Source organism: Homo sapiens, chromosome 13, assembly GCF_000001405.40.
Source record: "Homo sapiens chromosome 13, GRCh38.p14 Primary Assembly".
NCBI lineage: Eukaryota > Metazoa > Chordata > Mammalia > Primates > Hominidae > Homo > Homo sapiens.
In genome coordinates, this window is record NC_000013.11 from 29,547,822 (window position 1) to 29,559,960 (window position 12,139).

At 47.0% G+C, this 12,139-nt stretch overlaps 1 protein-coding gene across 5 annotated transcripts in view; it reads right to left on the reverse strand.

Annotated features, from left to right (window-relative positions):
* SLC7A1 (solute carrier family 7 member 1) overlaps positions 1-12,139 on the reverse strand; it is an 86,275-nt gene that overhangs the window by 38,408 nt on the left and 35,728 nt on the right. For 4 of the 5 annotated variants that reach the window (XM_047430551.1, NM_003045.5, XM_047430550.1 and 1 more), the window contains exon 2: positions 5,940-6,039. The gene's annotated coding sequence lies outside the window, so the exon portion shown is untranslated. Of the gene's footprint in view, positions 1-770; positions 1,841-5,939; positions 6,040-12,139 lie in introns of those variants that run through there. The other variant, XM_047430552.1, reaches the window with a different exon arrangement.

Consider the following 12,139-nt stretch of genomic DNA (forward strand, 5'->3'; position numbering starts at 1 on the left):
AAATTTCCAAAATTAAATGTAAAAACAAAGGACTTCGTCTGGGGCTGACCCAAAAAACACCGAGGAAACTCCACTACCTGCACCAAGTACCCTACTCCACAACCCCAGTGCCAGGACAGCCCCAAAATGCTGTAAGTGACAGCCACATGTTAACTAGTTAAAGCGTCTTTTATATGGGATTAGGTTGAGCCCTATGAAACTGTCAATATTCAGCCATATTTGATAATGACATAGAAAAACAGCCAAGAGTCACGGAAGTGTAACAGGCAGACCTGTCCTTAACTCTCCCGGTGGTGTCCTGAGACACTTCTCTGGGCCTAAGTCTGAATCAATGGCAAGTCAGACTGAAAAGCAACCCTCTCTCACCCGATAGCCTCCACCAGAAAAGCTGATATGAGTACCAAAGAACAGACTTAGGAGTAGTTCACAGGCTATTCAAAAGCTGGTGCTGTCTAAAACGTTAGGCACACACGGTTAGGAGCTATACATTGGAAGGAACGCAAGTGAATTTTGCGGTTCACCCCTTCCTTACCTTTTGACAGGTAACAGCCTCACTGGGGAGATGGAACCCATGCCCACTGGACAACAGGTGGCATGTCAGTAACCGGGCGAGGCTGGCACCCTGGTCTGTGATCTGTGACTTGGGGCAGGGCAGGGTGGCCCCTTTAGGGGTCTTCAGTGGCCAGCTAAGGGATTTACACCTTTATTTAGAAGCAAAAGTTTTAAGCAAAGGAAGAGCATCCATAAAACATGATCTTGGGCAGACTAACCTGGTCTATGTAAGAAACACCGGAGGGGAAAAATACAGAGCACGAGGACTTCCAGCTTCTCAAGGTCCAGCCTTCTCCTTTTAGGTAGGAAATCAATATGCTTGCCTTACAGCACAATATTTTAATCCAACTAATATAACACCTTTGCGTAAGCAAATGCTGTGACCTTTCATATTGATCTATTTGTTCCCCGGTCCCTGTTTTATTCTCAAAGAGCCCTGACACACACGTAAAACACACACCCGTAGTTACCATGGGGATTATCTACGCAGTTCATGTCATGCATAAGTAATTCCCACCAGGAAACGCCACATTTTATGGTAGGTCTTCCTGCCCTACTCACAACCACACTTTTTCACTGGTGACCAGAATTTCAGACACTCACTCCAGAAGGAACACACTTTTAATCTGACTTCTAATCTGAAAGGAATGTCACAGCCTCTTGGCCTGGCTGACCACCTTGCCTGTCTTCAGTCTTCAACAAGTACTGGTTGTACTTTTCTAATGAGGAGGCCTCCTCTTTACGTGGAGCGGACGTGCTAGTGGGCACTAAGAGAATAGCCTCTATCAGAGAGGAGAATGCAATTCAATTTACCTGAAATTCCTTTCAGGTATCTGGAAACAAATGGCCAATTGCCCGCATGCTCACCTGAATGATCAAAGACCAGGAGAAAACCGTACCCGTGGACCAGGAGGAAGCCAGCGAAGAACAAGGCAGCCCAGGATGCGGGACCAGTGCCATTCCTTCCCACCGCATGAGAGTGCCAGAGGGGGTGAAGGGTGGAGTGGCCCTTTCAGCACACCACGTGGTCCATATTTTATCATCTGTCACAGGCAGTGCCACCTGCATTGCTTTCATCGAAGGCACCAGACCAATACCATGACCACACACTGTCACTCTGGAGTGCCACCCCAAATTGACCCCAGAGCCAGCCCCTCAATATGCCAACATTCAACTCAAATATTCCAAACCGGGCATAATCAAAATTGTTCCTTTTTTGGTTATGGCTTTGTGACAGTCAGACTCTACATTTTCACAGAATCAGGAGAAAAGGAGAGCACAGGTTACATCTATTGTTTGTTTGTTTTCTGAGATGGAGTCTTGCTCTGTAGCCCAGGCTGGAGTGCAGGGGCACCATCTCGGCTCACTGTAGCCTCCGCCTCCTGGGTTCAAGCAATCCTCCCACCTCAGCCTCCTGAGTAGCTGGGACTAGAGGCACACATCACCACACCCAGTTAATTTTTGTATTTTTTTAGTAGAGACGGGGTTTCACCATGTTGGCCAGGCTGGTCTTGAACGACCCCAAGTGATCCACCCACCTCAGCCTCACAAAGTCCTGGGATTACAGATGTGAGCAACCATGCCCAGCCACTTCTATTGTTTTTTAAGGAATTCTTAAAGGCTGAAAAGAGACATTTTAACATATGCCCCAAATAATATTCTCTGCAGTCTCCACTGCCACAGAAAAACCTACTGTAAGGACCTCTTGCCTGCTAAAAGTTCACTGACATGCCAGTCATCTGAGACCCAAGACCACATTTTCGTATACAAACAACATGACAAAACTGCAGTTAAATTCCAAGGCAGCTCACAAAAAGCCATTTAACCCACCTCGCTCCTAAAGTCGGACTGGGCACTCCAGAGCCACCCACCAGCCAGCAGGGCCAGTGACGGCTCAGGGCATCCATGCTGGCTGCAAGGGTAAATGAGTCCTGTGGGGCTGTGACCCTGTAGAAGACTTAAAATCAGGGACAAATGTAGAAAAAAAATCAAGGAGCAAAATAATTTCTTATAAAAATAGACAGCAGATGGAAATCACTTTTCAACTCCCCCTTTCAAGGATTAAGGAAAGGTGACCTGTGCTGGGCTGGCTTGATGAGACAAGCAGCCATGCTGGGGAAGCCCATGTGACAACCAACTGCAGATGGCTTCTGGGAGATGCAGGCAGCTGCTAGGAACTGCGAGTGGCCTCTGGGAGCTGACAGCAGCCTGCATGTCGGCCAAAAAGAGGCCAGGACTCAGTTCTACAACTAGAGAACGTGAATTCAGCCAACAACCTGAGGGAATGTGGAAGAGGACACTTCTCCAGTCAAGCCTCCAGATGAAAACCAAGCCCAGGCCAGCATCCAGACTGTAGCCCTGTGAGACCCCAAGCATAGGCGCCAGCTGAGCTCTGACTCCTGCTGATTCCTGGCCCACAGAAACATTGAGAAAGTAAGATGTGTGTTGTTTTAAGCCAGAGAAACAGATGACTAATAAATGGTCCAAACACTCTTGTGTGATAATGAGTGAACTGGTGTTCATTTGCTCACTGAATCCTTGGGGGGCTAAGAACCAGAGCAGCAACCTTTCTTTAATACATTGCTTCAATGGTGGGGATAACCACAACTTCGCCTGAAGCTATTTCATCTTAATGGAGTCTGAATGATTTGAAAGTAATTTCCTCCTCCTGGAAAAATGGCATACATTAAGTAGCTGTTATTTCATTTTTTTAAAAATTGGGTGATCTTCCTTGGGCCATGGTCGTAGGAAGTTATGGGAGCTATAAAGATGAGACCACACATCGTCCCTGCCCTCAGAGTGCACAGTCTGGAAAGAAAGAAGCAAGCAAGTAACTGTTCACAATGATCGATCCATGCAACAACCACCTATTATGCACCTACTGTGTGCCCTCCCTCTTTGCAGAGGCTGAGGAAGAGCAGGGAACAGAACAGAAGAGAGAAGACAGAATGTGATAAACCAAACAACAAGCGTGGCCAAGACCGAAAGGCCTCCAGGAGATGTGGCAACTATGTTACCATCTGGCACCTGGCCTGATTCTCTTCAACAGGAAAAGATGACATCATGGCGGTGCCCAGTAAGCCATAAATTCCCCCAATTCAGACAGGGTTCAAGACTTGTGCCCCAACACCACCCAAGGGCTTCCCCTCACACCTTGATAATGCACTGCCCAGCCCAAGAAGCGGAAGACTCTGACTTAGGCTATTCACTCAGGTGTCAACGCCCAGCCCCAGTGTTAGGTAACACCAGAAGATGTTCTAAAATAGTCTGTTAAGACAGCAGAAACACATCTGACTGGGGCGGCGCGGGGAAGAATGCAGAATGAACTCACTCTAATTTAAGTCATGCTACTAATTAAGCACCTAAACAGGGAAGGAAAGAAAAGGGTGCTCAAGGCTCACATACCCCAACACACAGTGGCTTCTGGCCTGTGCAGAATGTCCTCCCACTTCCCTGCTGGCCAGCAGCTAATTTTACCCACCGCCTTTGGGAAGGTGCACCTGGTAATTCTGCACCTTTGTTTCTGACATTTACAAGGTAGTAGCAGCCTCATAAACAAGGTGCTTACTTATAGCCTAATCCTCCCCAGGAACTTGAAGCTTATGGGCAGCCCCTCCTTCCTCCTTAATTCTTATTTCAAGGCAGGCTGCTCAAAGTTGCTTACATGTGGCAAAGGTCACTGGCTATATCCCCCAGAAGTCCTTCTGATTAAGAACTCTGTGTGGGCTGCTGAGCCTAAGTATGTGTGCATTCCTAATATAGCCATAGTCTCAGAATTAACGATATGAACTGCCTCAAATGACTGTTAAGAATGTAAGAGAGTGGGAGACAAGTCAGGTGAGGGTCATTACACACACACACACACACACACACACACACACAGACACACACACACACTTTCCCTCAACTGAAGAGTTTTCCCTCTATTTTTTGTGATAAAATATCAATGATAATGATGAAGACTCCATACTCAGTAAACATTTTTAGTTTAATGGAAAAATGACCAGAGCAATTAGTTTAAAGTATTTTATAGTGGAACTCTTTTTCCCAAATGTTGGGAACAGGCCCCCAAATCTGGCCAAAAACTGGCCCCAAAACTGGCCATAAACAAAATCTCTGCAGCACTGTGACATGTCCATGATGGCCATGACGCCCACATTGAAGGTCGTTGGTTTACCGGAATGAGGGCAAGGAACACCTGGCCCACCGAGGATGGAAAACCGCTTAAAGGTGTTCCTAAACCACAAACATTATCAAGACCGATCTGTGCCTTAAGGACATGTTCCTGCTGCAGATAACTAGCCAGACCCATCCCTTTGTTTCCCGTAAGGAATACTTTTAGTAAATCTATAATCTATAGAAATAATGCTTATCACTGGCTTGCTGTCAATAAATATGTGGGTAAATCTCTGTTCGAGGCTCTCAGCTCTGAAGGCCGTCAGCCCCAATTTCCCACTCCACATTCTATATTTCTGTGTGTGTTTCTTCAATTCCTCTAGCGCCGCTGGGTTAGGGTCTCCGACCAAGCTGGTCTCGGCACCCAAACTACATGCTATGCCAAACCCAAATAGAAGAATCAGATAAAAATGAAGCTACTCATATTTAAAGAGAGTTAGGGGACAGACAGCCTCACTGGCCAGCCTTGACCGCCCCCCTGCCCCACTTGGCTCTTATGCCCACTTGGAATTAACTCTCAAGCTGCAAGGAACAGCCTGAAATACCACTGCCCTAGAGCAGATGGTTACAGCACCTAAACCAAGAACGAGTTACAGCAGAATTCCTAAGTAAAAGGGAGAGAAAGAGGAGTAAGGAGAAGAGTGAGAAGAATGGGAGCAAGATGAAAAGTTCTGGGGCAGGAAGAAAACTGGAAGCAGCCCTTGACCTTGAGAAGTGCAAAGACTCCAAGAGTCACAGAGAGAAACATGGCAGGACGCATCACAGCCGCTGTGCTGCAAGCCAGTGCCCAGGAGCTGGGTGGCACACAGAGCACGAGACACAGCGCCCAATGTCCATGCCAGGAATGATGAGGGACAGCTCCAGGCTGATCCTTCCCCAGAGCCTACCCTGGTGACCAGGCCTCAGGGACGGAAGGCCTGGCCAGCCGTAGGATATGAAGAGTTCTGTCTGAAGGAAATGCAGGAATTTAAGGAACACACTAAAGTGAGAAGACAAGCTTGTTTTCTGCTGGGTCAATGGGTCTGGACAGGTAGCCACATGAGTCTGAAAAATTACAGCATTTGGAAATCTAAAAAAGAAGACAACTGGGGGTTTTAGTTGACAGTTAACTTAAAAAGTCAACAGACAACTAGCAGTCTAAATGAATAACATATTCTAGTACAAAACAGAATAACATATATTCTGCTGTCGTGCTGACAGGCAGACTGTACCTGGAATATGACGGGAAGCCTCACCACCTTCTCACCAGAGGACAGCCTCGATCTTGCAGCAAAGATGTCTCAGGAGGGATACAAGGAAGGTTTCAGAATCCTGAAAGGCAAGGAAGAGCCATCAGATATGTTCAGTTTCAACCTCAGAATCTCTAAGTCTGTGGCTGGTACAGTGAAAACGGATTCAGCTCAGCCCTGCAGCGGGAAGCACATGCCACCTTAACAGCAACTGAAGACAGGGTTGACGGCAAAGGGGCCCACCATGGGGCATCATCGGGGGAATTCAGGGAGAAGATGGGGAGCCAGAATAGATGCCCTCCGCACCAGAGATTCCACCGCTTTACCTCTGAAACTGACTCTCATATTTCAAAGAGGAAGATAGAAAAGCGTCACACCGGCAATTTCCACAAATCTAGGGCATAGTCGTAGGCATGCAAAAGCTCTGAGGCCCCGGTCAGGCGCCATGAAGGGGAACGAGTCCGCTCCTGACACTGGTATTGACCAGCAAGGCCAGCAGGGGCAGAAAACCTTAGCTGGTGTCTTCTGAAAACACTTGGACTCCAATTCGTACAATCGAGAATTTAGTGATGGAGTTCTATGGGTACTATTAACAGCTGCCATGGCAGCACAAAGCATACACGTGCCCGTAACACCAAGAGTCTCAGCATGGGCAGAAGGTTATCCTAAATCTGGGATGCAGGACCTTGTTGCCTTGGAATGGAATCGTGCTGGCCAGTGACTGGGAGTACCTGGTATGAACGCAGCCTGAGGACACGCTACGAAGAACCTCATAGATGCATGGCATATAAAGTCCTTTGTTTTCTAAATCTTACCATTTACACTCTGCACAGATTCTTGCACTCACCCAGGAGCTGAAGAGGTTTAATTAAGCTGTCTGAAATATGATTTGCACCTAATGTGAACCCAGACAAGATTATCATTACACAAAAAATGCACATAAAGATGCTAATCAACAGCTACAGTTTTATAACTTAGACAGCAGCAAACCAGATTTCCCACAATTGGAATCTTATTCTATTCCCACCTACATCGTCTTTCATACATTGATAATTCATCCCACACTGATATTTCATTCCTTTTCACTTTCTATGTTGAAAATGTCAAACCTACAGAAGTTGAATGAATACTTACTCTTTATCTACACTTCCCAATATTTAATGTTTTGCCATATTTGCTTTATCCCTCTTTAGACAAATATATGCTTTCCTCATGACCATCGTGATAAGCAAGCTATAGCCACCATGACAACTGACCTCTACATATGTCAATAAGTAACTGCTAAGAATTACATTGTGGGCCGGGCGCGGTGGCTCACGCCTGTAATCCCAGCACTTTGGGAGGCCGAGGCGGGCGGATCACGAGGTCAGGAGATCGAGACCATCCCGGCTAAAATGGTGAAACCCCGTCTCTACTAAAAATACAAAAAATTAGCCGGGCGTAGTGGCGGGCGCCTGTAGTCCCAGCTACTTGGGAGGCTGAGGCAGGAGAATGGCGTGAACCCGGGAGGAGGAGCTTGCAGTGAGCCGAGATCCCGCCACTGCACTCCAGCCTGGGCGACAGAGCGAGACTCCGTCTCAAAAAAAAAAAAAAAAAAAAAAAAGAATTACATTGTGTTACCAAACTGTAATGCCATGATCACACCAGTGGAACTGAACATTAATTCAATAGTATTTAAAACACAGTCCACAACCAAATGTCCCTAACTGTCAGTTACTGCTATTTCTTGATGCTCTATCATGTACCATGAGAGCACCGAGAACCATGAAGGTTGATAAAGTCAGGCTCACAGCCCACCAGGGACACAGCATCCTGGTGCCCCACTGCAGGGTGGCTGCCAAGGGGCCATGATTGGGATTCGTAGTTTAAAAAGTTAACTCTGGAAAAAAAAAGGGGGGGCGGGCAGAATCTAGAAGGGAAACAACTGACAACATTTGCTGCGAGTGATAAAATTTGAACTTTCAAGAAAAAAATGGGAATTTCAGAAAACTTGTATTCGTCACCAAGATGTGGACAGCTCCCTAAAAGTTGAATTTTCTGATGACACTGGGGGTGATGTTAACAAATGGGATATTTTAAAAATATATGATGAAATGTGCCAGCATTTGGAAGATCCACGTAATTCAGTAAAACAGAATCCTAAATGTGCAGACTGATTTGAAGTGCAGGACAGACCCATTATTTTAGAACAAAGAGCTTACCGAGATGGCTTCAGATTCCACAGCGGAACCCACGATTGCCTGTGGAGTTTTAATATAGTATCAAGGAAGAATATCTACAATTACCTGAAAAGGCCACTAAAGTGTTCCTCCCTTTCTAGGTACATCCCTGTGAAGCCATATTTTCCTTATATACTTCAACTAAAACAACACGTCCAAACTGACTGAATGCAGAAGCACATATATGAATCCAGCTGCCATAAGCTAAACATTAAAGACACTGGCAAATATGTAAAACAATGCCACTCTTCTCACTGATTTTTTTTTTGTTCTGGAAAATAGCTATTTTTCATAAAAATGTTACTTATAGTAACACAAAATGGGTTAATCCTTGTTATTTTAGGTAAATTAAGACATTTATTTCAAGTTGTTCTAAATTTTAATTTTCTTTTTTTTTAGACAGGGTCTCACTCTGTCACTCAGGCGACAGAATGCAGTGGCACAATCTTGGCTCACTGCTGCCTCGACCTCCCTAGACTCAGGTGATTCTCCCACATCAGCCCCCCAAGTAGCTGGGACTACAGGTGCACACCACCACGCCTGGCTAATTTTTGTATTTTTTGTAGAAACAGGGTTTTGCCACATTGCCCAGGTTGGTCTCAAATTCCTCAGCTCAAGCAATCCACCTGCCTCAGCCTCTCAAAGTGCTGGGATTACAGAGGTATGCCACTGCACCCGGCCAAAATTTTAATTTCCAATTCATAAGTATTGATAGACACAACCCACATAAGGAAAGCTTCTTGGAGTCCTCCATACTCTTTAAGGGTGTCAGAGGGGTTCCAGACCCAACAGTTTGAGAACCACTGCTTGTAAGGTTGCCCAGTGAAATGAACACAGCCAAGCTTAATATATGCTCAACAGGAAGAACGCTGCTCTCCTGCCTCTTAGGCATGAATTCAGCAGCCTGCCACAGTAACGCTTGCTCCAGTCATAGTCTCCTGTCGTGGTATAAAAGCAGTTCATGCTAAACTTAAAAGTCTAAAGAAAGGCATGCCATATGTTAAGCCAGGATGAACTCATCAGGATTAATGGGACTGGAATGCATAGCAAATAAATTCATTAACACTGCTTTTCTTTAATCCAAGAATGTTCCAACCAATTTATTGTAATTTTTGAGATTTGAAAATTCCTTTGTTAAAAGCAGAGTAATGCAATGCTACGCCTCAGACGTAAAGAGTTTAATTCCATTTGTTTCATAAATATCGCAAGCAGCATTCCAACACTACTCTTGATGGGCTTCCAGGGGTACGTGGGGACTATAAAAGTGTGATTGTGACACCATGTGGCTATATTATAATACAGTCATGTGTCATGACTTAATGATAGGGATGTGTTCTGAGAAATGCACCTTTAGGCGATTTCATCCTTGTGTGAACATCCTGGAGTGTACTTAGAGTGTACTGACAGAAACCTAGGTGGGATAGCCTACTGCACACCTAGGCTGCATGGGATAGCCTTGGCTCCTAGCCTACAAACCTGTACAGCATGTTACTGTACTGAATACTGTAGGCAACAGTCACACAATGGTAAGTATCTGTGAATGGAAACATAGAAAAGGTATAGCAAGAATAAGATACAAAAGATAAAAATTGGTACCATGAACTTACCATGAACGAAGCCTGCAGGACTGCAAGTTGCCCTGAGTGTCAATGAGTGAGGGGGGAGTGAATGTGAATGAGGGAGAGTGAATATGAGTGGGGGGGAGTGAATGTGAATGAGGAGGAGAGTGAATGTGAGTGAGGAGGAGTGAATGTGAGGGAGGAGTGAATATGAGTGAGGGAGGAGTGAATGTGAATGAGGGGGAAAGTGAATGTGAGGGGGAGTGAATGTGAGTGAGGGGGAGTGAATGTGTATGGGGGGGAGTGAATGTGAGTGGGGGGAGTGAATGTGAGTAGGGGGGAGTGAATGTGAGTGAAGGGGGAGTGAATGTGAGTGGGGGGAGTGAATGTGAGTAGGGGGGAGTGAATGTGAGTGGGGGGAGTGAATGTGAATGAGGGGGAGTGAATGCGAATGAGGGGGAAAGTGAATGTGAGGGGGAGTGAATGTGAGTGAGGGGGAGTGAATGTGTATGGGGGGAGTGAATGTGAGTGGGGGGAGTGAATGTGAGTAGGGGGGAGTGAATGTGAGTGAGGGGGGAGTGAATGTGAGTGAGGGGGAGTGAATGTGAGTGAGGGGGAGTGAATGTGAGTGAGGGGGAGAGAATGTGAGTGAGGGGGAGTGAATGTGAGTGAGGGGGGAGTGAATGTGAGTGAGGGGGAGTGAATGTGAGTGAGGGGGAGTGAATGTGAGTGAGGGGGGAGTGAATGTGAGTGAGGGGGAGTGAATGTGAGTGAGGGGGAGTGAATGTGAGTGAGGGGGGAGTGAATGTGAATGAGGGGGAGAGAATGTGAGTGAGGTGGAGAGAATGTGAGTGAGGGGGAGTGAATGTGAGTGAGGGGGAGAGAATGTGAGTGAGGGGGAGTGAATGTGAGTGAGGGGGGAGTGAATGTGAGTGAGGGGGAGTGAATGTGAGTGAGGGGGAGAGAATGTGAATGAGGGGGAGAGAATGTGAGTGATGGGGAGAGAATGTGAGTGGGGGGAGTGAATGTGAGTGAGGGGGAGTGAATGTGAGTGAGGGGGGAGTGAATGTGAATGAGGGGGAGAGAATGTGAGTGAGCGGGAGAGAATGTGAGTGAGGGGGAGTGAATGTGAGTGAGGGGGAGTGAATCTGAATGAGGGGGGAGTGAATGTGAGGGGGGAGAGAATGTGAGTGAGGGGGAGAGAATGTGAGTGAGGGGGAGAGAATGTGAGTGAGGGGGAGAGAATGTGAGTGAGGCAGAGTGAATCTGAATGAGGGGGGAGTGAATGTGAGTGAGGGGGAGTGAATGTGAGTGAGGGGGAGTGAATGTGAGTGAGGGGGAGTGAATGTGAGTGAGGGGGAGAGAATGTGAGTGAGGGGGAGAGAATGTGAGTGAGGCAGAGTGAATCTGAATGAGGGGGGAGTGAATGTGAGGGGGGAGAGAATGTGAGTGAGGGGGAGTGAATGTGAGTGAGGGGGAGAGAATGTGAGTGAGGGGGAGAGAATGTGAGTGAGGCAGAGTGAATCTGAATGAGGGGGGAGTGAATGTGAGTGAGGGGGAGTGAATGTGAGTGAGGGGGAGTGAATGTGAGTGAGGGGGAGTGAATGTGAGTGAGGGGGAGAGAATGTGAGTGAGGGGGAGAGAATGTGAGTGAGGGGGAGTGAATGTGAGTGACGGGGAGTGAATGTGAGTGAGGGGGGAGAGAATGTGAGTGAGGGGGAGTGAATGTGAGTGAGGGGGAGAGAATGTGAGTGAGGGGGAGAGAATGTGAGTGAGGGGGAGTGAATGTGAGTGAGGGGGAGTGAATGTGAGTGAGGGGGAGTGAATGTGAGTGAGGGGGAGAGAATGTGAGTGAGGGGGAGTGAATGTGAGTGAGGGGGAGTGAATGTGAGTGAGGGGGAGTGAATGTGAGTGAGGGGGGAGTGAATGTGAGTGAGGGGGAGTGAATGTGAGTGACGGGGAGTGAATGTGAGTGAGGGGGAGTGAATGTGAGTGACGGGGAGTGAATGTGAAGGCCTAGGACATGACTGCACACTGCTGGAGACTTGAGGAACACTGTACACTGAAGCTACACTAAATGTGTAAAAAATATTTTTCCTTCTTCAGTCATAAATTAAGCTTAGCTTACCGCAACATTTTTACTTTACAAACTTTTTTGTAACTCTTTTTTTTTTTTTGAGATGGAGTCTCGCTCTGTCGCTCAGGCTGGAGTGCAGTGGCGCGATCTCGGCTCACTGCAAGCTCCGCCTCCCAGGTTCACGCCATTCTCCTGCCTCAGCCTCCCAAGAAGCTGGGACTACAGGCGCCCGCCACCGCGCCCGGATAATTTTTTGTATTTTTAGTAGAGACGGGGTTTCACCGTGTTAGCCAGGATGGTCTCAATCTCCTGACCTTGTGATCCGCC